Source organism: Homo sapiens, chromosome 3 (genome assembly GCF_000001405.40).
Source record: "Homo sapiens chromosome 3, GRCh38.p14 Primary Assembly".
Lineage (NCBI taxonomy): Eukaryota > Metazoa > Chordata > Mammalia > Primates > Hominidae > Homo > Homo sapiens.
Window position 1 is genome coordinate 44960468 of NC_000003.12, and position 24308 is coordinate 44984775.

The 24308-nt window shown below is 44.8% G+C and overlaps 2 protein-coding genes across 31 annotated transcripts in view, besides 3 other annotated features; one reads left to right on the forward strand and one right to left on the reverse strand.

Annotated features, from left to right (window-relative positions):
- ZDHHC3 (zDHHC palmitoyltransferase 3) overlaps positions 1 to 15707 on the reverse strand; it is a 60914-nt gene extending 45207 nt beyond the window's left edge. For 21 of the 26 annotated variants that reach the window (NR_146163.2, NR_146162.2, NR_146161.2 and 18 more), the window contains exon 1: positions 15466 to 15707. The gene's annotated coding sequence lies outside the window, so the exon portion shown is untranslated. Of the gene's footprint in view, positions 1 to 14132; positions 14233 to 15465 lie in introns of all 26 variants that reach the window. The other 5 variants (NM_001349381.2, XM_047448266.1, XM_047448261.1 and 2 more) reach the window with 2 other exon arrangements.
- Positions 14687 to 15231: an enhancer, noted in NCBI's record as "H3K27ac hESC enhancer chr3:45016646-45017190 (GRCh37/hg19 assembly coordinates)". NCBI's record gives its function as "activates a minimal SCP1, AML or CMV promoter by ChIP-STARR-seq in primed H9 embryonic stem cells {active_cell/tissue: H9 hESC(primed)}" and the evidence as "EXISTENCE:reporter gene assay evidence [ECO:0000049][PMID:30033119]".
- Positions 15454 to 15553: a silencer, noted in NCBI's record as "silent region_14275". NCBI's record gives its function as "represses an Ori minimal core promoter by ATAC-STARR-seq in GM12878 lymphoblastoid cells {active_cell/tissue: GM12878}" and the evidence as "EXISTENCE:reporter gene assay evidence [ECO:0000049][PMID:35858748]".
- Positions 15674 to 15743: a silencer, noted in NCBI's record as "silent region_14276". NCBI's record gives its function as "represses an Ori minimal core promoter by ATAC-STARR-seq in GM12878 lymphoblastoid cells {active_cell/tissue: GM12878}" and the evidence as "EXISTENCE:reporter gene assay evidence [ECO:0000049][PMID:35858748]".
- Positions 15777 to 24308, forward strand: part of EXOSC7 (exosome component 7) — a 36425-nt gene continuing 27893 nt past the window's right edge. For all 5 annotated transcript variants that reach the window (NR_023353.2, XM_047447748.1, XM_047447749.1 and 2 more), the window contains exon 1: positions 15777 to 15867. Coding sequence is in view for 4 of the 5 variants with exons in the window: in XM_047447748.1 (XP_047303704.1) it covers positions 15811 to 15867 (57 nt within the window). In the remaining variant the exon portion in view is untranslated. The remainder of the gene's footprint in view (positions 15868 to 24308) is intronic.

Consider the following 24308-nt stretch of genomic DNA (forward strand, 5'->3'; position numbering starts at 1 on the left):
GCTGCAATTCAAGTCTCTGGAGACAGCAATGAAACAACCAAGAATCAATGACTAATATCTATCCACAGCATGTGCTGCAAGACACAGAAAGCATAGATTTCCCTTCTCTTCTTTTTTCTTACCCTCTTTGGCCTGTTGCATCACCAACCAGGTTTCTCAGTTAGAAACTGTGATGGCTCAAGCTCCCCACCAGATGTAGGTGCCATGGAAAAGCCACTCATAGCACAGGCTACAACACAGGCAAGAAATATCTCTGTCTTTTGAGAACTCAACTACACAGCAGAAGAAATCACTCAAAAGCAGCACTGGCCATGTGTGCTTCCTGAAGACTATGGCTCTGAAGGGCAAAGGCAGGCTTTCGGTATTGTTATGAACAGTAAGGACATGTCCAAAAAGCTAGGAGGGCAGACCAGTAACTACTATTCAAAATGACAGACATTCTAGAGTCGAAAGTTGCACAGACTAATAATGAAGAATAAGGACAGGGCCACTCCTCCCAAGGTGGCAGAGAACTAATGGCTGAAAGGCAGCTAAATGTGCTATTACGTATTTGCCCAAAGGAATATCGACTCAGCAAATGCAGTCACTATCACTGTGTTAGGGAACAAGAAGTCATGACACATAGAGATAGAATAACCATCTCGGCCGGGCGCAGTGGCTCACGCCAGTAATCCCAGCACTTTGGGAGGCCAAGGCGGGTGGATCACGAGGTCAGGAGATTGAGACCATCCTGGCTAACACGGTGAAACCCCATCTCTACTGAAAATACAAAAAATTAGCCGGGTGTGGTGGCAGTCGCCTGTAGTCCCAGCTACTGGGGAGGCTGAGGCAGGAGAATGGCGTGAACCCAGGAGGCGGAGCTTGCAGTGAGCCGAGATCACGCCACTGCACTCCAGCCTGGGCGACAGTGTGAGACTCTGTCTTAAAATAAATAAATAAATAACCATTTCAAGTAGAGTAAAAGTCTTGGTTCCTGGTGGTCCATCAACCAAAATTTTCTAACAGAGCAATCCTGTGCTATCCAGAGGACAGTGGCAATGTAGTCCTGCCAGAGACAACCTAAATGCATTAAAAGATGCAGGCCCACCTTCTGAAGCACCAAACAGGACAGTAGAAGATCGGAGATCAGGAATGTCTGGGACCTGACCTGTGCCCAGCAAATTCTAAAATTACAAACTCTGTTCAAGGAAAACCAAAGAAAAGAAAAGCTGACATCACACAATGATTCAAAAGCTGATTGAAGCTCTACATTTTGACAACCTCCAGTTGCAAGCATTCTTTTGGTTTTTCCTACTGCCATGCAGATTTATATTTATATCACCTGTGTTCTCACAATTACTATTTAAGCTCAAAAACAATAATGTTTTGTTGGACCACAGCCATGTCATTTGATTATAAATTGTCTCTGGCTGCTTTTGTATTACAATGGCAAGAGTTGAATAGCTGTAACCCACAAGCCCTAGACATTTACTCCCTGGCTCTTTATAGAAAAGTTTGCTGATGCCTGGTTCTAAGCAGTTGTTGGCTATCAAATAAATAACAGATCCTGCTTCCCTGGCAGAACAGCTTGGTGTGATGGAGATCGTCAGTTACAACTCACTGTCTCATCCACATCTGTGACGGCAAAACCTCTTGTTATCTGCAGCCTGCGGACCACTTCCCCATAACCTGTACACTCTATCAAACTGTTTTTTTTATCATAAATGGTATGGTTTTCATAAATGGATAATCACTGAAAATAAATTTTAGAGCAATTCTCCTTAGAGACTTCCAGTGATTAAATTATATTCACAGAATATTCAGAGTGGTTGCATTCATACAATCAAGAATGACAATTCCTCATTCTTGATTGTATTTATGACAATGATTCGACTAAACAAGAGTTATGTTTCATGTGCATGGTTTTGTTGAGGAATAAGCCCTTCCACGTAAGTAACTTCCCAGATAAATGTGACTTGTTTCCAAGTAGAAACACACTTTAATCATTTGGATGGTTAAGATGGAAATCTTAAAACAGAAAGGGAGAGAGAAGGAAGGAAGGAAGGAAGGAAGGAAGGAAGGAAGGAAGGAAGGAAGGGGAGGGGAGGGGTATTATAGCTGTTTGTCCCTTAAGCACAATAATCAACCATTTCTTCTGGAATGATTTATTTAGAGTTATTACCAGGAACATCACCTACTGGAGTGTGTTAGGTAATGATGTCCTCAGGGCTACTGAAATTCACTGGGTCTCGGCTTCACATCAACTGGCTTGCTCAGACTGTTATAATTGCCGTTCTGGCATCTCTGTATATGATCCTTTGTCTTCCTCCTCCATTCCTGCCTACTCATTTCTGTGTCTACGGTCACCAGTCATACCCACATATCCTCTATTTACTACTGCTAATTGGCTGTGGGCTAGAAAAGCAAATAAACTAAGTCTTGTTAGATTTATTTGCAAAAGGGTAGTCATTTTGGGTAATAGGCCTTCAGGGAACAACTGCTAAGCTCTTCACCATATAGTCCTTGAGAGGAGGACTTATTAGCCCAGTGGCTGGCACAGAGTAGCCACTTAATACATGTGTTGATTAAATGAATGCATGAGATTTGTGATCCCAGGCCCACTTCTTAGAGGCACTGTCTGCTTAGTTTCAGGACTGTGACCATATTCTGCATGGTGGAGAGTGTGTCAAGTAGGACCATGAGGTAAGTGGACTGACTCTTACTCAAGTAACCGGAATGTTCTATCTTCAAACAACGTGGGACCAAAGAGTGTACAGAGGAGCTCTGTTTTCCCATGACCCTCACTGGTGAGCGAGAACCTGTGATCTAGGAAAGGACCAAGCCAAAGGTGTACCTGGCAGGGCCAGACACCAAGTCCTGACCTGAAGGGCACATTCCACACTTAGAGTTTCAAAATATCCCCATCAAAACCAAGAAAGGCATACTGCTATAAAAAGGTTGCTTAACCCCCAGACCTCCCAAAAGCAACAAAAGTAGCTTTCAAGAAAAGATTTGTTCCTTAAATTAGCCAACTGAAAATCTGAGAAATATGGCAAAAAAAAAAAACCCACCACGAAACAAACTGTATATGTTCCCTTTATCCTACCCCTAACAAAAACAAAAAAGGCAAATATGGACCCCCTTTTCCTTTTCTATTTTGAATTAGAGAAACTCCAATCCTTAGGGTTGAGCAGTAGACCTCTGCCAAGGACCCACCTCCCTACAAGTGTCCTTACTTCCAAGGAGCTGGGCAGAACTGGTTACTCAGGCTTCTGGGACAGGGCCCCGAAGATGGGCCCTAAGCCCCAAACCACATCTGCCAGCACATGCTCTCAGAAGGGCAGCCTCCTCTAGTTCCCCCTCCCTGTCTCCTTCACCCCGGCCCCTTGCCCTATTTGGTCTCTAAAAACTCCTCTCTTTATTCAGTTCAACTCAAAAAGACATTCATGGAGCAGCCACTAAATGCAAGGAGCTGTGCAGGGGGCTCACACACGAGGGATGATGTGGACAATAATGTGTGTGTGCTGCCCTGCTCAGGCCCTGCCAGTTCCCTCCCCCAGCTCCCAACCTAATAACACTAGTCTTATTTGCTTTTTTTCCACCAACCTGCAAGTCTCATTTTATTTAGCTCTGTAGCCTAGTGTTTGGTATATGTGCTCAAATCAATAATTCCTGAGTGACTGGTCACATATATCAAGCAGACACACCCACAATAATGCTAACACATAGGTGACTAATGAATAGCACAAAAAAGGGACAAATAGTACCAGAAAAACCCGAACACCAAAAGCAACAAAACCCCAACAACCATAAGTGAAATAAATAGACTTTTTCATGGCAAGGACTTCTGAAGGGGTGGGCTCTGAGCAGCACCTGGAGCCAAGTGAAGCATACTGCTTACAAAAAGGCAAGGGGGGCCGGGTGGGCCTGGCAGGAAAATTGGTGGTACTAGTGGGGAAGAGGAGGGGCAGGATGACCAGGGCTGTGTGCGTGTCTGTGGACAGATGCAGGCTTTGTAGGAAAGAGAGGAGGTGATTCGAGATGAGGCTTTATAGGTAGGAGAAAGTTGTGTTTTAGAAAGCCTCTAAACTTCATAATGAGATGGGATTTCATCCTGAAAGGTACTGGTGAGCCATAAAGTTTCTGAGGAAAGTTGTGCAGGAATAGTACTCATGCTGTGGCAAGACCACTCTAGAAGTGACAGGCAAGACAGATGAGAGGTCTGCGTCCAGAGGCCGACAAGTCCAGGGAGGCACAAGGGCAACAGGCCTGAGTCTCATTTTGGTGGTATTAGGTTTTCTGTTCCTCTAAGTGGCTAATAGTTTTCCAAGGAAGATCTAGAACAATGATCATTTTGTAACTTGAATTATAGTAATCTATATTGAAGTTTTTTGGCTAAGGGTTTTATAGCATTAAAAAGAGTTAGCGCCTCCATATATTAGTATTCCATGTTCAAAGTAATTATTATTTTCACCTGATAGAAGAGTTCACTGAAGCCCAGAAAGGCAAAGGAACTAAGCCTGGGGAGGGGCGGGGGTAAGGAAGTCACAGGGGAAACGGATCCACAGGCCCAGAGGTGTTCTGGAGCTCCCTAGTGCCAGCAATCCTGATAAGATGTGGTGTCAAAATGATGATCTGAGCTCTGTGAGGGGCAGTGTGTGGGAAGTCAAAGGAAATCAGCTAGTATTCCTTCATAGAGTTCTAGAAACCAAAACCAAGAAATGCCTGAAATTAGTGCTATTCTAAAAGCAACAACAAAAACTGCCTGTGGTCCAGAGAATTGCCTCCAGATCCATACATAACACACGTGCTTCATTATACCTTATCATAAGTGTGCTCTTCCACTAACCCACACTGACAGACACAAATATACTTAGTGAAGTGGAGTCTGGGGCTCCATGAGCCCCAGGGACTGGGTTGCTGAGTCAGCCTTGGGGTATACCACTTATGCCTCAGTCCCCATGCTGTCTCTCCATGGTAGGCAGCTCAAAGGGTTTGAACATCGTGGTGCTAATGCCAAGCTCTCAGGCCCCATCCCACTGTGGCACTTCATCGGGTTGGCCAGGATGAACTGGCCTGGCCAAGTGTTGACTGCTAGTGATGGGCAGAATCCAGCTACATCATTTGTTGAGTGAGGGGCAAATCCCTACTAATCTTTATCATGTGGCAAAAAAACCCAAAACAAAACCCTGACCCACAGTCCATGCTTTATGGACAGGGTCAAAGCATGATTGTCACATCAAACATAAAGTTCTCTACTGAATGTATTAGAGTCCCAAAATGCCACTGTTCTCAGTCCAGCAAGTGTACCAAGGACCCCCATCCTCTCAGATTGCCAACAAGTCCTATTCACCTGCTTTTATAAGACAAGATCCCACACTAAAGTCATGGAGTAGTTCAGCCAGATCTAAAACCAAATCTTTGGAAGCACCTCAAAGTACTTTGTGAGGATTACTTTTCTAAAACACCGCATCCACCCACATTCTCACATCCACATGAACATTCATGCACTCGTGAACAGCACACATCTTGAGACGGTACAAAGTAGCATCAACAAAGGGCAATTAATTCAACCATTGGAGCCTGTATGAAATAGCTGTATACAGACTGGTTTAACAAACTTGAAATCAGGTGCAATGATCTCCCCTTGGCTTAGAGATAAGGATAATCTATATACTTAAAACAAAAATTGAGGGATTAAACTTTCTGGCTCCCTACAAGTAGGAACTATAAAATCGAAACTCAATTTCATCAGCCTCTTAGCAGATGTCATGAACATCAGCAAAATAGTAGAAACTCTAAAATAGGATGCTTTTGGCTTAAGCCAAAATTTGTTTCGAGTGAATATGTGACATTTTAATAAATCTATTATTATGCTAGACTGCTGTTGAGGGCTGGTCTGGTATCCTCTTGAACTTGTCCTAAACACTGAATTCCCACCTAAACTAATTCTTACCACAGTTAAATAGTTCAGTCTACCCTTAAACAATCACTTAAAATGTCCACTGAAAGAGGGTAGCATCTTTTCTGATATGTCTATAACTCTCAGCTGAAATTCACTCTAATCAATATAACATTAACCTTCTATGGTTTAAATCGTACAGTCTTAAAAATGTGGTGTTTGTTTCTTTTAGAACTTCTCACATTTTAGAGTGATAGTCTTAAAGTATTCACAAGCCAGCCCTGCAACCTCAAAGATCAAATAGATGATCTTTGCCTTAGAAGCTTTAGAAACAAAATTGGTCAAGTAGAAAATTAATTCACCTGCACTACAATTACCTTTATTTGTGTAAGGATCCAAAAGGATTGTAAATTTTATGCCCACTTTTTAGATGAGTCTCAGAAAAACAAAGAGGGAATCATGAATCACTGTGTTTGAAATATTTCATTAAAAAATAGGATGAGTCACTAAACTTTTTCAAAAAGGTAAGGGTGTGGTATGAAGCCTAACAGAAGAAAGGTGCCTTATCTTCTGCGGCACACCCTGCTAGCCAAGGAAAGTGTCCAGACAGGCAGAGTGAGCTGGCCTGTTTTATAAGATCTTTGCTACCAACAAGTCTACACTGTTTCTCTCTCTATAGCAGGGGCTGTCTCCCTCTGACTGCCTTTTGTCTCTGTCATACTCAGCCTTCAACAAAAAACAAATGGAAAAAAAAAAAGTAAAATATTGTACCTCCAAGCCAAACCTTACACATATTACAGTTCATTGAGGAAACCAGGAAGTGGTCGGTAAACCGAAATTTCCTTCTTGCCTCATAACTGACCACCTTCTTACAAAACCCATTCATGCACACACTCAGACTCCTACCAATGTCCTTCATTTCAGAAAACAGTCTGGGATTTGGATAGCTCATGGAGGCTAACAGTTCCTCTACTTACTATAACTATTTTATTACAATTGGCTATTTTACCAGCTCCTGGCTTTACTAATCTACTAAAAAAAAATATGCACCCGAACCAGGTGTAGTGGTTCACATCTGCAATCCCAACCCTTTGGGAGGCTGAGGCAAGAGGATCACTGGAGCCCAGGAGTTAGAGACCAGCCTGGCCAACATAGTGAGACCTTGTTTCTATAAATTTTTTTTAATTGGGGGAAAAAAAAGACACACTCATGTACAGTGTGACATAATAAATGTTACAAACATTGGAAATCCGTAGAAGACACCACTCATTTGGGTAACACGGTCTACTTTCCCTTTTCATGGGTATCATTTATACATTGCAATGAACAGAAAAATTGAGACAAGTTTAAAACAAGCCACTTGTAAGAGTAACTGGTTAAAAAAAATCAGAATTTTAGAGCTGGGAGAAATATTAAAGACCATGTGGTAGATTTTAGTCAAATTTTCCTGTTTTACAAATGTGAAAATTTAAGTCCTTTTGACATTTTGTTGAAAACTTATGTTTTAGGCAAAACATGCAGTACTGGCTACAGCAATGGAGATGGGCATCAACATTAACTGAATGCCTATTATGCTTCAGGACTACGCAAAGCAGCTCGTTTTAATTCTTACAGCAACCCAGCATGGCAGCTTTTATTCGCCATTGCAGAGATGGAAAAAGTAAGGCTCAGAGGGGTTGGGGAATATTCCCAAGGTCGCATTGAGTGAGGTGGTGGTGGAGCCAGGATTCAAAACGGCTCTGCTTGCCGTCACAGACTGCACTTTTTAGCACAGCACATGGATTTTTTTTTTCCACCCAAAGTTGGAATGAGACAAATGCACAAGCAGGAAATAGGAGTTGTACTTCCTGCTCCCTTACACACATTTGAGGGACCTGAGGAGAAGTTACTTCAACTTAGCTTTAGCATCTTCCTCTCTAAAGTGAGGGGGATGGACTAGGATCTCTAATCTCTGACTCTTTAAAAAAAAACAAAACAAACAAACAAAAACACTCAAAAAAGGCACTCTAAGCAGACTTTCCTTTCACTGGCTTCTGGGCACCCATAATACCTATTCTTTAAAAACAAGTCTGGGCATGGTGGCTCCCGCCTGTAAGGACACTTTGGGAGACCCACGCAGACAGATGGCTTGAGCCCAGGAGTTCGAGACTAGCCTGGGCAATATAGCGAGACCTCATCTCTACAAAAATCTTAAACAATTAGCCGAGCATGGTAGTGTGTGCTTATAGTCCCAGCTACTTGGGAAGCTGAGATAGGAGGATCGCCTGAGCCCAGAAGGTTGAGGCTGCAGTGAGATAAGATTGCACCACTGCACTCCAGCTTGGGTGACAGAGTGTGACCCTGTCAAACAAACTAACTAATGAATAAATAAAAATTGAGCATTCCTTCTTCTATGAGCCCCTTCTGGCACCTGTCTCATTAATGGAGCATGACACTCATTGGGTTACCTCAATCAGACTTGGGCCCTCAAAAACATAGCTGCTTGTAAAGAGACTGTGAGAACTACCCGCCCTGCTTCCAAATTGTGGTCCACTCTGTTTTACAGATGAGTAAGGAAGTGAAGCTCAAGGAGTCAGTGGATCTTCACAGGGAGGTGGCTAACTTGTTTTCTAGGTCTAATGGATGGTAACTACTACAATCTGTTTAATTGCTACGCTGCCATCTCCCTGCATTAACTTCTCCTTGCAGGAAGTTTGTAAGCCAGCAGGAGCATCTTCATAAAGGCAACAATAAATGACTGCTCCAGCTACCCAATGAACACTTGCCGATGACGGTGATACTCTCATAGTTTGTGAACCCCTTGTAATCCAGTGCATGATCTCATTTGACAATGAACTGCCTTCTGGCCTCTGTGAGGGTAGGCTCCAGTTCTGCTTGATTGTTGCCAAAGTGTGGGATATGCTGAATGTAGGGTGGGGCCCTGATTCTTTCCTGACCCTCACTTAAGGTGTCACCACTGCCTCCATCAGGGCACTGGGCTGCTTGCTACACATGCCTCTTCCTGTTTGATTCTCACATCTACTCTATTTTGCACATATAAATGCCCACTTCCCCATCCTGCTTTTAGAAACGAGAAAACTGAAGCATGCCTACAACCATACTTCCAGGAAGTGGTGGAGACAGGATATACTCCCAAAGTCTGCTCTTGCCCCAGGGCTTGCTTTTCACTACTTACTACAATAATTAAATTTTGTCTAGTAACTAGAAAATAAAAGGGGGAGGAGTATTGATGTTTCCATCAGTGACCTTGGGTTACTTACGGTTTGGCTATCTTGTCCACACATGGTTATGCAGAGGTGGCATTATCGAGTGGGCTGCATGCAGTGGTGCTCACAGGCCACAGGCCTGAACATAAGCATTTTGGGCTCTAAGGTGGGGCCCTGGCTGAATACCAGCCAACATTTAGAATACCGATCCTGCCCTAACCTAGGAGGCAGGAAGGCCGTGAAGCCTCAGCCAGAAGAGTCACCTAGGATTGAATCCCTAAAATCTGCTTTGGCTGGGAAATACTTCCTGTGGTGCCAAGTAACAGAATGCTGCTTTTTGTGAGAAAAAACGCCTCCCCCCATGCTAGGCAGAGACCTATCAGCAAAGGTTCCCACCTGAGGATGTTGAGAATGACACCTGGGCCCACATTGTGTCATGTGCAGCCACACAGCCACTGTGACATCACTTAGGCTAGGCCAGAGCTTGGTTGTTTTTAGGGACTAAAAGCAAAAGTGCTTAGAGAAATCCGAAAGACTAGCTAGGGAAGGGAGAGAACCAGTTATTGCAACTGTACTAGGTACTAGGGCCTAAAAAGGGGAGCCATTTGACTTTCAGGAATCTGCTGGTATCACTTATTCCAGGCACTGTAAGTGGCAGTGCAAGAGCAGAGCCCTGGGAGGAACCTGGGACCACAGAAAGAAGGCTGTAATGGGCTGTGAGAAAGAGAACACAGCCCCTGCTTACCTGGTGAGGGGCTCTCCAGCCATTCACCAGAGGGCTTTGGAAATAGATGGGAGGCTAGTGCTAAAGGGAATGAAGACTGAGCTTGGAATCAAGAGGCCAGAGTTTACTCCCAATCCTGCCACTCGCTAACCTCATGATCTCAGGCAAGACAGTTACCATTCTGGGCCTCAGTTTCCTCATTTGATAAAACAAAGGGGAAGATCACGCTGATTGCTAGGGCCCCTTGCAGGGCTGAGATTCTATGAGTCCTCTGTTCTCAGGAGCAAATTCAACGTTTTCTTTGTTAATATCTTGGATTTTACATTTTTTTACCAAAAGCTTCACTTACCTCTTTTCCCGATTTGCTAATATTCAAAAAGAAGCCCACTAGTAACTATCTCTCTTAGCAATTTCCTGAGCATGTTTAGTTTTTTCAATCAAGTACAGCATAAAATTACGACTTCCTTTTGTTCATTTAATTTTTTTCAGAGTGGAAAAAGCACTAGCAAAATATATCAAGTATAATGAAGTGGTAAATGAAAGAAGTCTTAAAAACCCCAATTTAAACATGGTCATTTTTCAATATTCAAATATTTGCATATCCAGGATCCATTCTGAGTTTAAAAACCTGGCAAGATACTCACTTGAGGGCAAAATGAGACTTAGGTTAACTGACTTGTTCAAAGTCATAAAGCAAGTTAATAGCAAAGCCCAAATCTTTGGACTAAGATGCCCGGAAGTCTTTCTACCATAGATTGTTATCTTCCTAAACAACCTGTCTTTCTAGATTCTCTGCTACTATTTCTTGGTTTAGAAACATACACTTCACATACTGAAGACTTTACTGCAACAGGACTGTGGCCAGAACTGTACTTGTCTCATTAGGCTTACCTTGCTAAGGTAAGAAAGTGATCTCACTCAAAGGCATTGCATCTCCACTGACCTTGAATAGGAAATACATATTCATATCTTGCCAAGAGTTCAAGTGCCAAGTCAATACATACTACGAAGTCTATGGTTTGGAGGAGACTATGAAATGATGACATTTCCCATGCATTCCAAATGTATTAGGATGTATGACTGAATTAAGTGGGACATGCACCTGGAGCCTTCTCACCTTCACAGTTGACAGCCATGAATGAACTGGCCATTTGTCTCTGGAAATCTGCTTCCGAGGAGGAAAGCAAATGATTTTTTAAAATGCAAAACAGGAAGGAACTAAAGGCAGCATGGCATGAGCCTCATTTTTTCCCCAACAGGTCAACACTGAGACATCACCCCTCCACTTCTACTTGAGACTTTGTTACTTTCCATGGCTATCAGGGTGTGTGTGTTTAAATATTTCTACATTTGGTAAGCAGGATCTGTTACCCCCTTTTCTCAAATATGCCCTAATGAGACATAGGAAACATGCTGTCACTCTCCCAAAATGAAACACACATGAAGACTGTATAACTTTTCCTCTAATTAAGAGTAAGCTTTACCCATGTATTACTAGCAATTTTTCTATCACTGTAATCTCAAGTTACAATGTCTAGAAGACAGATGAAGACCTGCTGGCCAGACTATGACAGTATTCTTTACAGATATTCTTCATTTCTATCATTATTTTATTACTTATTTTATTATTTTTTAGCGATGGGGTCTATGTTGCCCAGGCTGGACTCAAACTCCGGGGCTTAAGGGATCCTCCCACCTCATTCTTTTAAGACAAGGTACAGGCGGGACAAATGCAAAGTGTTTAAAGGAAACAGATCTACAGGCAAAACGGTAACTGACTTTGTACATTTCAAGGGTGCTGGGCTAATGGTGAAAATGCAAAGGAAAAGGCCTAAAACATGGCCATGTCTGCTTAGGACTGGGAACAGAAGGTTTCCTGCTGGGCTTTTAAGAGCTCTCTATGGCTGGGCATGGTGGCTCATGCCCATAATCACAGCACTTTGGGAGGCCAAGGCAGGCAGATCTCTTGAGGCCAGGAGTTCGAGACCAGCCTGACCAACATGGCCAAACCCAGTCTCTACCAAAAATACAAAAATTAGCCGGGAGTGGTGGCACACACTTGTAATCCCAGCTACTCGGGAGGCTGAGGCACAAGAATTGCTTGAACCCAGGAGGCGGAGGTTGCGGTGAGCAGAGATTGTGCCACCGCACTCCAGCCTAGACAACAGAGCAAGACTCTGTCTCCAAAAAAGCTCTCTGCAACATCAGCACCACAGACTCAGCATTGCCCTGAAGCTCTTTTGTAACTGGCTTTTATTGGTTTAATTAACCAAGGATGGGTGGGACAGAGTTACTCCATCTCTGTCATGTTATTGTTGCCGGCTTGTGGCTAGCAGCAGCTCTTTACCTTTTGTATTTGATACCTGGCCTGCACAATTAGCACCTTATTATAGGCTGGCCTCTCTTCTAATTGCCACGTCTCAATTGAGCACTTTATTTTATTGTCTTGTTCATGCAGTAGTTCGAGGTCCTGGGCTCCCCCACTATAATAAATTCTAAACTACTTTTAGGCAGGTGTTGTGTTTTGAGTTTATCTCTTTATGCCCATAAGAACACCAGGGACTCACAGGCATGCAAACACACTGTCTGGAGTTTCTAGATATCTGAGTATGGCATACGGTTGGAATCTGGGTCTCCATGCATGCTACTCAACCCTAGTACCAGATCTATCAGCCATCTTTGCCATTGAGGGCTCTCTCCTTAGCTACTTGGAGTTAAGCTCTTATTCTGCTCATATATAACCTTTTACCTTGTTTAAAATATTGGGTTGCAACAGACACAGCAACATCCCATCAGCACCACATTCCATGTTCCTCTAGAAAAATGATTCAAGGGATATGAGTTTATGCTTGAACAGACTTCTTGCTTTTGGAATTAAGATTAACTATATAGTTCATAGGACAGTTACCAACGCCATAACAAAATTGGGATTTCCTTCACCAAATAATCTGGTGAATGTAATAAAACCTGGGGGGAGGCTGTGTAAGGTGATGGTTAGGAGTATGGGCAGGAGAGCTAGACTGCCTGGTCTCAAGTCCTGGTTCTGCCATTTACCAATGATGTAACCTGTGACCCTGGTTAAGGCATTTAACCTCTCTGTGCCTCATTTCCCAATCTGTAAAATAGGGATAAGAATACTTGCATCACAGGGCTGTTGCAAGGATTGAATCAGTTATTTTTTATTTTTATTTTTTTTTGAGATGGAGTTTCGCTCTTGTTGCCCAGGCTGGAGTGCAATGGCGTGATCTCAGCTCACTAAAACCTCCGCCTCCTGGGTTCAAGCGATTCTCCTGCCTCAGCCTCCCGAGTAGCTGGGATTGCAGGCATGCGCCACCATGCCCGGCTGATTTTGTATTTTTAGTAAAGATGGGGTTTCTCCATGTTGGTCAGGCTGGTCTCAAACTCCCAACCTCAGGTGATCCACCGGCCTCGGCCTCCCAAAGTGCTGGGATTACAGATGTCAGCCACCGCACCTAGCCTGGTTAATCTTTATAAAGTGCTTAGAACAATGCTTGGCATACAATAAGCACTATGTAAATTAGTGTTGAAAATTAGAGTATAAGGTTTTAGAATACACAAACCTACAGAATAGTATGCCCCAATTCATTTATTCATTCAATAAATGAATCTAATAGTGATGGAAAAACAAGACGGTTTAATACTGTGCCATCCTTGACTTCTTGATTTTTTTGGTTATCATATGTTCTTTGAATTACTTCAATACACTAAAAAAGAACTCAGAATTTATGGATTTTAAAGACGTCCAATGCACTATTACAGCAAAGGTGATAAAAATGTTCTGGCAGCATTTAAGCCGAATGATTAGTGAAGACTGTCATTGTTTTAGTAGACAATTTAAAAAGGAACATTCTACTGTTTACATCTCTCTTACCTACTTAGCCTAATATATAAGACATCGTTCATAACATTATTTAGCAAATACTGCAGACCCTTGTCCAGTATGGAATTCCCGTCAATTGTGAGGGGGGGACAGTTCAAATACATGTTCTATATTTTAAGACATTGGAAAATCTTTATATAAAGATAACTCCATGGTATCTGAACTCAGGCTTTTCTTCCTGTGTCTTTCTGATCTGTCCATTTGCTGTCACCTCTTAAATCCTCAGTCTCCTCAGATATCCTAGCTTCTAAAATCCCACTTCCAGGGTCTCTCCTTTCTGAGCAATCTCTAGCACATCTAGAAAATATCATTTATAACATCAGCAATCTCATGTTATCTTATCACAACAGAGCTCCTCACATAAAACCCAGCCGTCCAACCACACACAAACACATCTAAGTGCCACAACAGGTGGGGCACCTGTGCCTTCATTAGGGAGGAAATCCTTCCGGCTTCACCTCTTTCAGTTTCCCTGGAAGGCAAAGTCCAACCCTGCAAGCTGTCTTCCTTTTAGGTGCCCCTGTGGAGAATTACGTAGAGACATAAGAAACATCTAATGTCCAGTCTACGAAGAACTGATCATCAATTTTGGAGCTCAGCAGTTTAATGCTTAAGAATGTGAGCAAGCACTTCCTCTCTATAACCTTATCAGACGACCTCCCAATCCCACTGTGCCCACTGATGCGACCATCATAGCTCTAACCACCATGATCTGTGGTTATGTTGGCCCTGGAGCCTTCATCTGCCCAGGGAACTTCTCTGGGCATAGTATGTTTTACTTGTCTTGTGTTCTAAAGGTAGCACAAAGCCTATCTATAGTAGGCTCCCAATAGTTATCTGAAACTGTATTTGAACCCACTATCTGATAAATACCATTTTTTTTTTTTTTTGGCTGAGGGTCCTCAAAAATGGAACATCAGGAAAGTCATCAGAATTGCTTTAACCTGCCCTCCTTGCTTCAACTAATTTGGGTTAACTTTCTCCCATTTATCCACACGGCTCCTTTAAAACTTGCACCATACTTTGTCAGCCCCGCCTTAATGAGTTCCTTTGGTGACCCCAGCTTCACCTTGCAGATATCCTCTCCGGGTATCCAATGCCCATACTCCCACTCGGCCATCGCAAGGGGTTGGGGTTGGCTTTTTTTCGGGCAACTGCTCACAGCTCCCAGTAATCACTTCCATCAAGCCGGGGTTTCCAGTTCCCGCTAGGAAGCGTTGGGGACGTCCGGGCACTGCGCACCTCGCCAGTGCCGGTTACCAAGCGCCTCCTCCCCCGTCTGTGGGACAACGCTCTGGTAAGCACCCGAGGCAAGAGGTCCCAGCAAGGTAATGGGACAGCGTTCGGTCACAGAGAGTGAGCGAGCCAGCGAGAGATATTCCTGGGTGGAGGGGTGGGGACGCCTTAGGACTAGTGTCCCCCATTCCCGGACCCTTCCCACCAAGAACTACCTAGGGAGGGCTGCATCGCCTCTCCAGCCATCCTAGGGACTAGAGAAATGGAGGGGAGAAGAGCAGGGAAACAGCACCCCCGGGCCAATCACGACGTCCGCCCCTCCTTAGTCGGGGTCTCTCTCTCTCTCTCTCTCTCTCTCACACACACACACACACACACACACACACACACGCTCCTAAGTCAACTCCAGCTCTGAGCAACTACGCCGCACGCCTCTCCCACTGGGAGTCCCCCGGCCCGTGAGGCTCGCCTCACCCCAGCTTCTTCACCCCTACCCCAGTTTCCCTTCCCAACTGACCGTGAAGCCGGAGGCAGTTCCCCAGTCCCAGACCCCGGTGGGGCTCCCGCCGCCGCCGCCGCTGCCTTCCCCTGCAGTCCCCAACCCGGGACCCGGCCTCGGGCTTCGGCGATGGCTCCTCGGAACGAGGCGCCGCGGCTCTCTGGACTCGGCCAGACACCGGGCGGCGCGCAGGAGAAGCCCATCGAGCTCTCCCGGCAGTGGCGGCGGCCGCGGCTGCAGGAGCGGCCGCCGCGCAGGTTGATGACGCGCTGACGCGGGGCGGGGGGGGGTGGGACGTGGGGGCGCGGTCCAGAGGAGGGGACGCGCGCAGATGACGTGCGGCTCGTGGGGCAGCTCGGCAGCATGGCGTCCGTGACGCTGAGCGAGGCGGAGAAGGTGTACATCGTGCATGGCGTCCAGGTAGCTACAGCAGCGGCGTTGGGTCGGCCGCCGGGTTCAGCCTGGCCCTGCGGGTCGCGGCCTGCCCTGGGTTTGCCAGTGAGGAGGCAGCCGAGCTGCGGCGACTCTCCGTTTACCTTGTGATTAAACGGTTCTGCTGCCGGCGTTTGCAATTCAGAGCTGGCAACGTGGACGTTTTTAGGACTGTTAGCGCATTTGCAGTTTTGCGGGTCTATAAGATTCCGAACCCGGGCAGGAAGCTTGGGCAGTCTCGGAGGCCTTTTCTTAGTGAGAGAGCATCGGCCCCAGGGCCATCCATTCGGCGTTCGCGCACAGATCTTGTCCGAGCCTCAGTTTTCTCTTCGAGGAAATGGGAGTTTGGAGGTGGGCTTCTGGCCTGCTTTTCCTCACCTCGTGGTTAGGAGGGCGCATGCGAGGTGAACGCACTTTGAAAATACAAATTGCCGTACAAATAAAGGGGGAAGGGTTTTTAAAAAGCGGCTAGGACGCCTGTAATCCCAGCACTTTGGGAGGCCGAGGCGGGCGGATCACGAGGTCAAGAGACCGTCCTGACCAACATGGTGAAACCCCGTCTCTGCTAAAAATACAAAAAAATTTAGCTGGGCGTGGTGGCGCACGCCTGTAGTCCCAGCTACTCGGGAGACTGAGGCAGGAGAATCGCTTGAACCCGGGAGGCGGAGGTTGCAGTGAGCCGAGTCTCAAAAAAAAAGCGGCTAGGCAGCCGATAGCCTAAGTGCTGTTTCCATTTTGCCAATGAAGAACTAAGATCCCTAGGCAGCTATAACCTAATGTCCTCTGTGTTCTATATTAAATCCCTGGTTATGACCACTCCAGAACGAGGGTTGAAAAATGTTGGACCTGGTAACGAGCTACCCTGTATCCTCCTCCGGCTGTGTCTCCACTTGTTAACCTACGGTGTGGTCCTCCTATCAGAGTTCTTCATCCCATCCTTGGCAGAGTTCTGGCGACAGCTCCTACCTCTTTTCCTCATGCCTTTCCTCTGTCAGTACCAACTGCAAAGTCAGTGGTCCCGTGATGTAGCCATCGGATTGAAGCGGCCAGCTATCATTGAAGTCCCACAACGTGAGTTAAGGACATGTCCATTTAAAAATCGTGACCTGCCGTTATCTTCTGGGCCCTTTATATATGAAGAAATGCCAATATTTAGCATATTATGCCTGGATAATAAAGTCAGAACTCACAGTTGCATATTTTAGTTATAATTCAGGATTAACAACAGTGGGACATATGTGTGTATTACAGGGTAACATGTATGTTATTTGTGTGTGAGGGGGCATAAAAATGCCCAAAAGCAGTTAGATATGTCTTTCCCTGCTATATTTTTGTATACACTTTGTTCAGGTGATTTTTATCCTCAAAGTATTTTTTTAGGGACACATTACGGATAACCGTTTTCCTCTAAATTTAAAAACCTTTGGTCTTCTTTGTTACCGGAGCTTACCATGATGTAGTGACTCTGTCATGTGTCCTATTTTCTCTCAACATTTCATCCCTGAAAGTGGCACTGAGGCATGGATATATCTGTAACCTCAAGGTTAGAGCTTTCTCCCCAGCACCCTTAATTCCCACGGCAGTTCATTAGCTATCCAGCAGCAGAGTCCCACCATGGTCATTAGTTAATTTTATTTACCAACATATATCTAGCTCCTGGCATGTTATGTGGGAAACAGCAGGGATGCCAAAACATGGTTGTGAAATAAATGAAAGATAGGAGGGAGACAAACAGAGAGTAAAAGTGAATAAAATAAAAACAAAGGTAATGTAAGATCTATGCCAAGGAAGTGGTATAGTTAGTGGAGGTTGAAGTTAAAGTATACCAGGGGCCGGGCATTGTGGCTCACGCCTGTAATCCCAGCACTTTGAAAGGCTGAGATGGGAGGATTGCTTGAGCCTAGGAGTTTGAGACCAGCTTGGGCAACACAGTGAGAGCCCATCTCTAAAGAAATAATTTTTTTTTAATAAATAAAAAGAATTCCAGGGACTTGTAATGCTCTGAAGGCTTCCCTAAGGAGGTGGAATTGCTCCCCTAAATCCATGTCAAGGATTCCTCCTCTGTATCTTCAGGACTCAGTATTCATTCATTCAACACAGAACTGAGCTAGACTCAGGGGCTAGGAAGGAACCTGTCCTTATATAGCTCTCATGCTAGAAGGAAGATGCAGAAACTATAAATGTACTTGAGTGTTTATATATAAAATTGTACTGAATGCTATGAAGGAAAAAACGGACACGATCTAGACTGGGAGGTCAGAGGAGGCTTCCCTAAGGAAATAGCATTTGAACTGAGTTCTCAGCATGACTGAGAATTAAGTAGGCACCAGTGTTCCAGAAGGAAGGGGTGGTGAGTCTGTAAATCCTCAGGTGGAGGACATGTGGAGCCCAAGGGGTGGGCTGGGGGAAATGGTGGAAGATCAGCTTGCAGAGGTGGCCAGAAGCACGATCCTAGAGGTCTTAGAGGTTCAGTCATTCGCTCATCATGGATCTTGGAAGGCAATAGCCTGTTGACTTGTCTGTATGGGGGACCCTTAAGGCATAGCCAGTGTCTAGCACTTGGTAGGTTCTTAGTAGCATTGAATGGGTGATGTAAGCTTTAAAGGGGGAATGAGTTGGATGGTGTTTTTATTTTTTAAATTAAACCTCCCTCTCACCAGTACCATGGACATATTTGGGCACAGTTGTTGGTAAATGCTCAGCTCTGTGTATCACAGAGCCATGCAGAGTAATGGGCTTCAAATCAACGTCTTCATAAGGGCTTATTAATGTTGGCCCAAAATATGCCATATGTATAGAGGAGCAAAACACAATTTACACCATCCAAATAAAGGTCAGGATGCAGGTGAATGAGCCTACCATGGAATCTCAACTGATTCAGTTCTGAAATCTCCTAAACTTTTGTTGCGTTGGTTATAGAGTGCCGGCAGTGCACCTTAAGCAGTGCCTGCCTGAACTCCTGTTGCTTGTATAGTCCTAGTCATTTTGTGTTTTACTTTTCACCTTTGGTCCAGTAACGTCCATTTCAGCTTCTGATGTCACTTTCCCTTCAGCCTTTGGTTCTTTTACTATTTCAGGGAATATTTCATCTTGTTTTGGTGATAGTTAGAAGCAGTTGAAATTAACCTCACGATGTGTTGAGGATTCAGTTGCTAGTAATGGTAACCAACACATCGGCTCAAGCAAAACAGTATGGATTACAAGGCTGCAAGTGTTTCTCCAGGAATCCTAATCTCTGCTGGTTTTTTTTTTCCCCCTCTTTGCTTTGTTTTTGTCTCCCTACAGATTGGTTTTCTATTTCTTGGGCCAGTGGTAGAAAAAATGTGGTTCCTTCCCAGTTCCTCTGTAAAAGAGACCATTCCTTCTCGTTCAGTTCTGAACTCATGTTTCCAAGAGAAAGAAACTCTAGTTCTTTTAGGGGGTTGAGGGAAAGGATGGACAGAATAATTAGGCTCAAACATGGCCACTAGAGGATGTGTCACACTTGGGAGAAGTCAGTTTGTGAGAAGGGAGGGTGGATCATTTTAGTTATTGGCAGAAAATGGAACCCTCTTCAGGTAGTTCAGGAGACTTTTATGATGGGACTCTAGAGCAGTATGGGGGGGGTTTCAGGGAACCAATAAGAGATGTTGAGGAGCCCCAAGACAACTACTGGGAGTGGCTACTGCCCCTATTCCAAAGGGGCCAGGGGAGGAAACAGTATTACCACATTTCAGTGATAGCTGGAACTGTGGAGGAAGGGCTGCCCAACATAAGTCATAGTCTTCGATAGATGCAGGCACTATCAGAAATGTGGCCACTAGATTGGGGGTGAGGGGCACCCTCTGATCTGGTATCTTCCACTGGACAAACCCAACCAGAAGCCAGCAAAGGGAGTCTAGGTGATACAATTTGAGTCAACCTGGTGAACAGATCCCCTCTCCCAGGGGAGAACAGAGAATCAAAAAGGTGGATTAAATCGGTATTTTGATAAATAATTTGATTGGTTTCTGTTAGGTTCTCTTTCAGTCTTTGAAGGCTATATCCCATTCTTATTAGGTACATATTATAATTTTTATTTCATTGAATATTTACAACAGTTCTGAAGGTAAATGTTATCTCTATAGATGAGGAACTGAGCTCGGGCAGGTTGAGTCGCTTGTCAAGGTGACACAGTAATTGAGTGGTGGCACTGGGATTTAAATCCAGACCTGTCTGATTGCAAAGCCCATACTTGACTCTGAGGCCACCTTCCTGCTGCAGTGAAAGTCATTTCTTCCATTTCCTCAGTAGGGATCCAGAGATCAAGGCAGGAGAGAATCTTTGCTTCCTCTACCTCCTTTTCTTTCCCCCTTTCTCTAAAAGCTTGTGGGGAAACTGGAAGGGAAAGAGAAAGTTCTAATTGACACCTCCCACTCCCCAGTTTTTCTAGAGCTTAAATAGTATATGGCATATACTGCTGTATTGTTTTGGTTGCATTTTTCCCACATTGAGTATAAGTTCCTTTAGAACCCTATATTGCATTTCTTTGTATAGCTTTTGTCTTACTAGTATCATAAACGATTTACTCTGCCCATACCATGCAGAACTTGGAGCAGACTTCAGAATTTTTAGAATCTAGGATTTATCCTCTTTTCTGGCTTACTGGGCTAGATGTGTGTTTTCCTCATCCATGAGAAGCCATTGCTAACCTCCCTCTTAGCCCAGGGATTCTGAAGCCTTGAAGTGCATTTTACTCACCTACAAAATACAGATTCTGAGGCTTTACCCCAACATTCTGAATCAGACTCTCTGGGGCTGGGGCCTGAGAATGGACATTATCATAAAGTGTTGGGAAATTTGGGGGCAGCCACCAGACATTGGCCCATGGGTAAGCCACTGACCAGAGATAAAGAAATCTCTGCTCTCTCCTGCTGAAGTCATATGGTTTCCTGCCTCTTTTTGAATGAGGCTTTGGAGTCAGACTGAGCAGGCACCTTCACCATTTACAATAAGTGGTTTTACTTGCATAACTGAACCTGCTTCCCTTGTGTAAAATGGGGACTTATGCACCTGGAAGTAGAATGGGGTTATGAGGAATGATGAGATAAGAGATGTCAAGCACTTGGGCTGTGGTTAACACAGAAAAAATGCTGGCTCCCTTTCAAGTTTGTTTTTCCATCAGAAGTGTGACTTTGTCTTAAACCATCCACACTAGATCCCCAGCCTTCATAGTGACCTCATTAAAGATTCAGCCTGTGGCTCCTGAGAATTAAACCTCTTTTGATTTGAAGGAATCGGGATTTTTCAATTATCTCAAGAAAAGGGATAGGCCAGGTGCAGTGGCTCACACCTGTAATCCCAGCCCTTTGGGAGGCTGAGGTGGGAGGATCACCAGAGGCCAGGAGTTGGCATCCAGTCTGGGCAACATAGCAACACCCTATCTCTAAAAAAAATTAGGTGTGTGGTGGTGTGTGCCTGTAGGCCTAGCTGCTTGGGAGGCTGAGGCCAGAGGATCGCTTGAGCCCAGGAGTTGGAGATTTCACTCCAGCCTGGGTGACAGAGAGATACTCTGTCTCTTAAAAGAAAGAAAAAGAAAAAAGAGAAGGGGGATCTGTGGCAAGAGCTGGAAAGTCCCCAGACAGCTCTGAGGTACCGCCTCTCATGGGCTCCGTGGATTATCTCATGGCCTGTGTGGCTGTCTGTCTTTATCTCTAGTGACATCTCTGCTTTTCTCTGCCAAGATTTATCCCTTCTCTGCAGCCACTTGCTGTCCAGCTTCCCTTCTTTGTAGAATCTGCCTCTGCCCAATACCTTTACTTTCGTGTGGCCTCTCTGGGCTCCTCCATATCATGACCTGTCAGCTCCTCTTTAACTCCTTTCTTCTCTCAAGTGTTTCTCAGATCAGAGACCAGATTGCAATGAGAGAATCAGTTTGGTCTGGTAGTATTTCACGCCAAAAAGAGTTGGTCACCCTTTGGATTATATGCCTTTGGTTCAGGCACCTACCCCTGGTCCTGGCTGTTGGGGATGGATGGTGACTGTTATGTGGCCTTTACAGGGCTTTAGGCACAATAAAGCTTTCCCAGGTTCAGCCTACTGAGTGCTATGGCTATGACCTGGACATTAAACTGGCCCTCATAGGTTCAGACCTGGCCATGGCAATTGACGAACCCTACCACAGGGCTCTTGGAACCCTGTGAAAGCCATTTTATTGTATGTTCTTGGCTGTTGAAGGGAGTTGTAGCCCAGCTGATGGCTTCCATTTCTTTTCTGTGGATCTTGCTTTCATCATAAGCATTGTTTAGGGGTATAGCATGGAAGAGGGAGATCAGGGCCTCAGCCTGGTTTTCAACTATGAGATTGAGCAGTCAGTATTCGGTTGCTCAGTCTGGCCATGACAGAATTGGAGCCAGCCCTCAGGACTCTTGATTTTTAGCTCTCTGCCCTTTCTGTTTACAGACCCATGGCACAGAAAGCCTTATGCCCAGACACTGCAGGATGCAGAGTTATGGAGCCATATCCTTTCAGAGGAATGCCTGGCTACTCAACAGGGTTGGAAAGTCAAACAAGGATCAACACCTACTTTTGCCTGCTGTGTGATGGGCCCGAGCCTGCAAAGCTGGACCAAATGTGGCCCCTTTCCTAAGGGCGGGGGGCAGTCACCTTCTAGTAGGGGAAGGAATTTAGTCTCACTTCTCCTTTAGGAATCTGGAGTATTAGACAAGTCAAAGCAAGTTAATGAGGGGTTAACATAACCTCAGAGGACCACTTTGAGTCTAAAGTCCTTCCAGATGTGTCAGATTGGTAGCGCCAACTTGTCAGTTTCTATTAAGAAGTAATAGGACTGGGCTTCCTGGGTGTGAGGGAAAGTAGGTCTGTGCTTAAATGTCCTTCCACTCTGTCACAAACAGGAGATTGAAACTTAGGTGCCTCCATTCTTATCTGTAACCTCTCTCAGGGTTGTTTTTGAGGATGCAGTGAGTTAATGCATGCCCCCAGAAGCAGGGGAAGGGAACTGCTTTGGGGGGACTCCTATGTGTTACACTGAAGGACTCCTTTAAATGCTTTATGACGTTTCTGTTCTCTTGTAACTCTGTAAGGTCGGGGTTATCCCTGCTTTCTAGATGAAGAAACAGGCTTAGAGCTATTTAGGTCAAGGTCACAAAACTGGCATGTGACAACAGAGATTTAAGTATAATTTGGAAGGTGGCTGTTTCCACCACACCACACCCTACTGGTAGGGTTGTTGTGATCACATGGGTAACAGCTGTGAAAGTCACCAAGAGCTTTCCTGGCATCCAGAAGCCCTTGATCTAGAGGCACATCAGTCTCCTCTGCTGAGAAGGAGGGGACACCACTCCATGCTGTTGACATCTCTTGAGTTTTAAAATGGAGCTTTTACTTCAGGGTAACTCCTATTTAAGTGTTCACACATGGATTAATTCCTTTGCTCGTGACTGCTGCAGATAAATAAAAACTGTGGTAGGGCACCAGGCCCTGAGCTAGGCCAGGCAGGTTTGGACAATTTCCTAAGCCTTTTATAAGGAAAACTGGGTTTAAAAAAAAAAGTTGCCCTGGGTACAGTGATTCATGGACTGGTTAGGTTGGTTTTTTTGGTTTGTTTTCCTCCTATCCTTTTTTTATATGGAAAAAAATTATGCATGCTTGGAAAGGAAAATTTGTAGCTTTTCATTTATCTTTTACTTATCACCTGAGCCTTTCTCCAGGAGGCAGAGAGTGAATTAAAGGCTGGAAAAGCAGTATCTGATGAGGCTCAGTTTTCTGACAGCCCACCAGCCCCTTCCTGGACCAAGTACATTTTCACTACAAAGAGGTGTGACTAATCTTTCAGAGCAAGTGATATTTTAGAAGCAGTAGTTGGACCAGATGTGGTGGCGCATGCCTGTAATCCCAGCACTTTGGGAGGCTAAGGCAGGAGGGTCACTTGAGGCCAGGAGTTTGAGACCAACTTGGGCAACATAGCAAGACCCCATCTCTACAAAAAGTAAAAAATAAAAATTAGCTGGGCATGTTGACATGTGCCTGTAGTCCTAGCTACTCAGGAGGCTGAGGTAGAAGGATTGCTTGAGCCTAGGAGTTTGAGGCTGCAGTGATCACCACTGCACTACAGCCTGGGTGACAGAGTGAGATCCTGTCTCAAAAAAAAAAAAAAAGGAAGAAGCAGCAGTAGTAAACCCTGTGACCTTGTGGCCAGCCAGTTCATCCTGTGAAGGAGGTCTCTGCTGAGTCCTTTTGTAAAGTGAAGACATCCTTTAGAATGCAGTGGACTGTGTAGCATAGCGGTTAAGAGCTCTGACTTGAGGCTTAAGTGCTACTTACTGGCTGTCTGAACTTGGGCCATTCATTTGACATCTTTTAACCTCAGTTTTCTCATTTGTAAAATGGAATGAATAACACTATCGTATAGGATTATTGAAAAGATTAAATGCATTAACTGCAGTATTCCT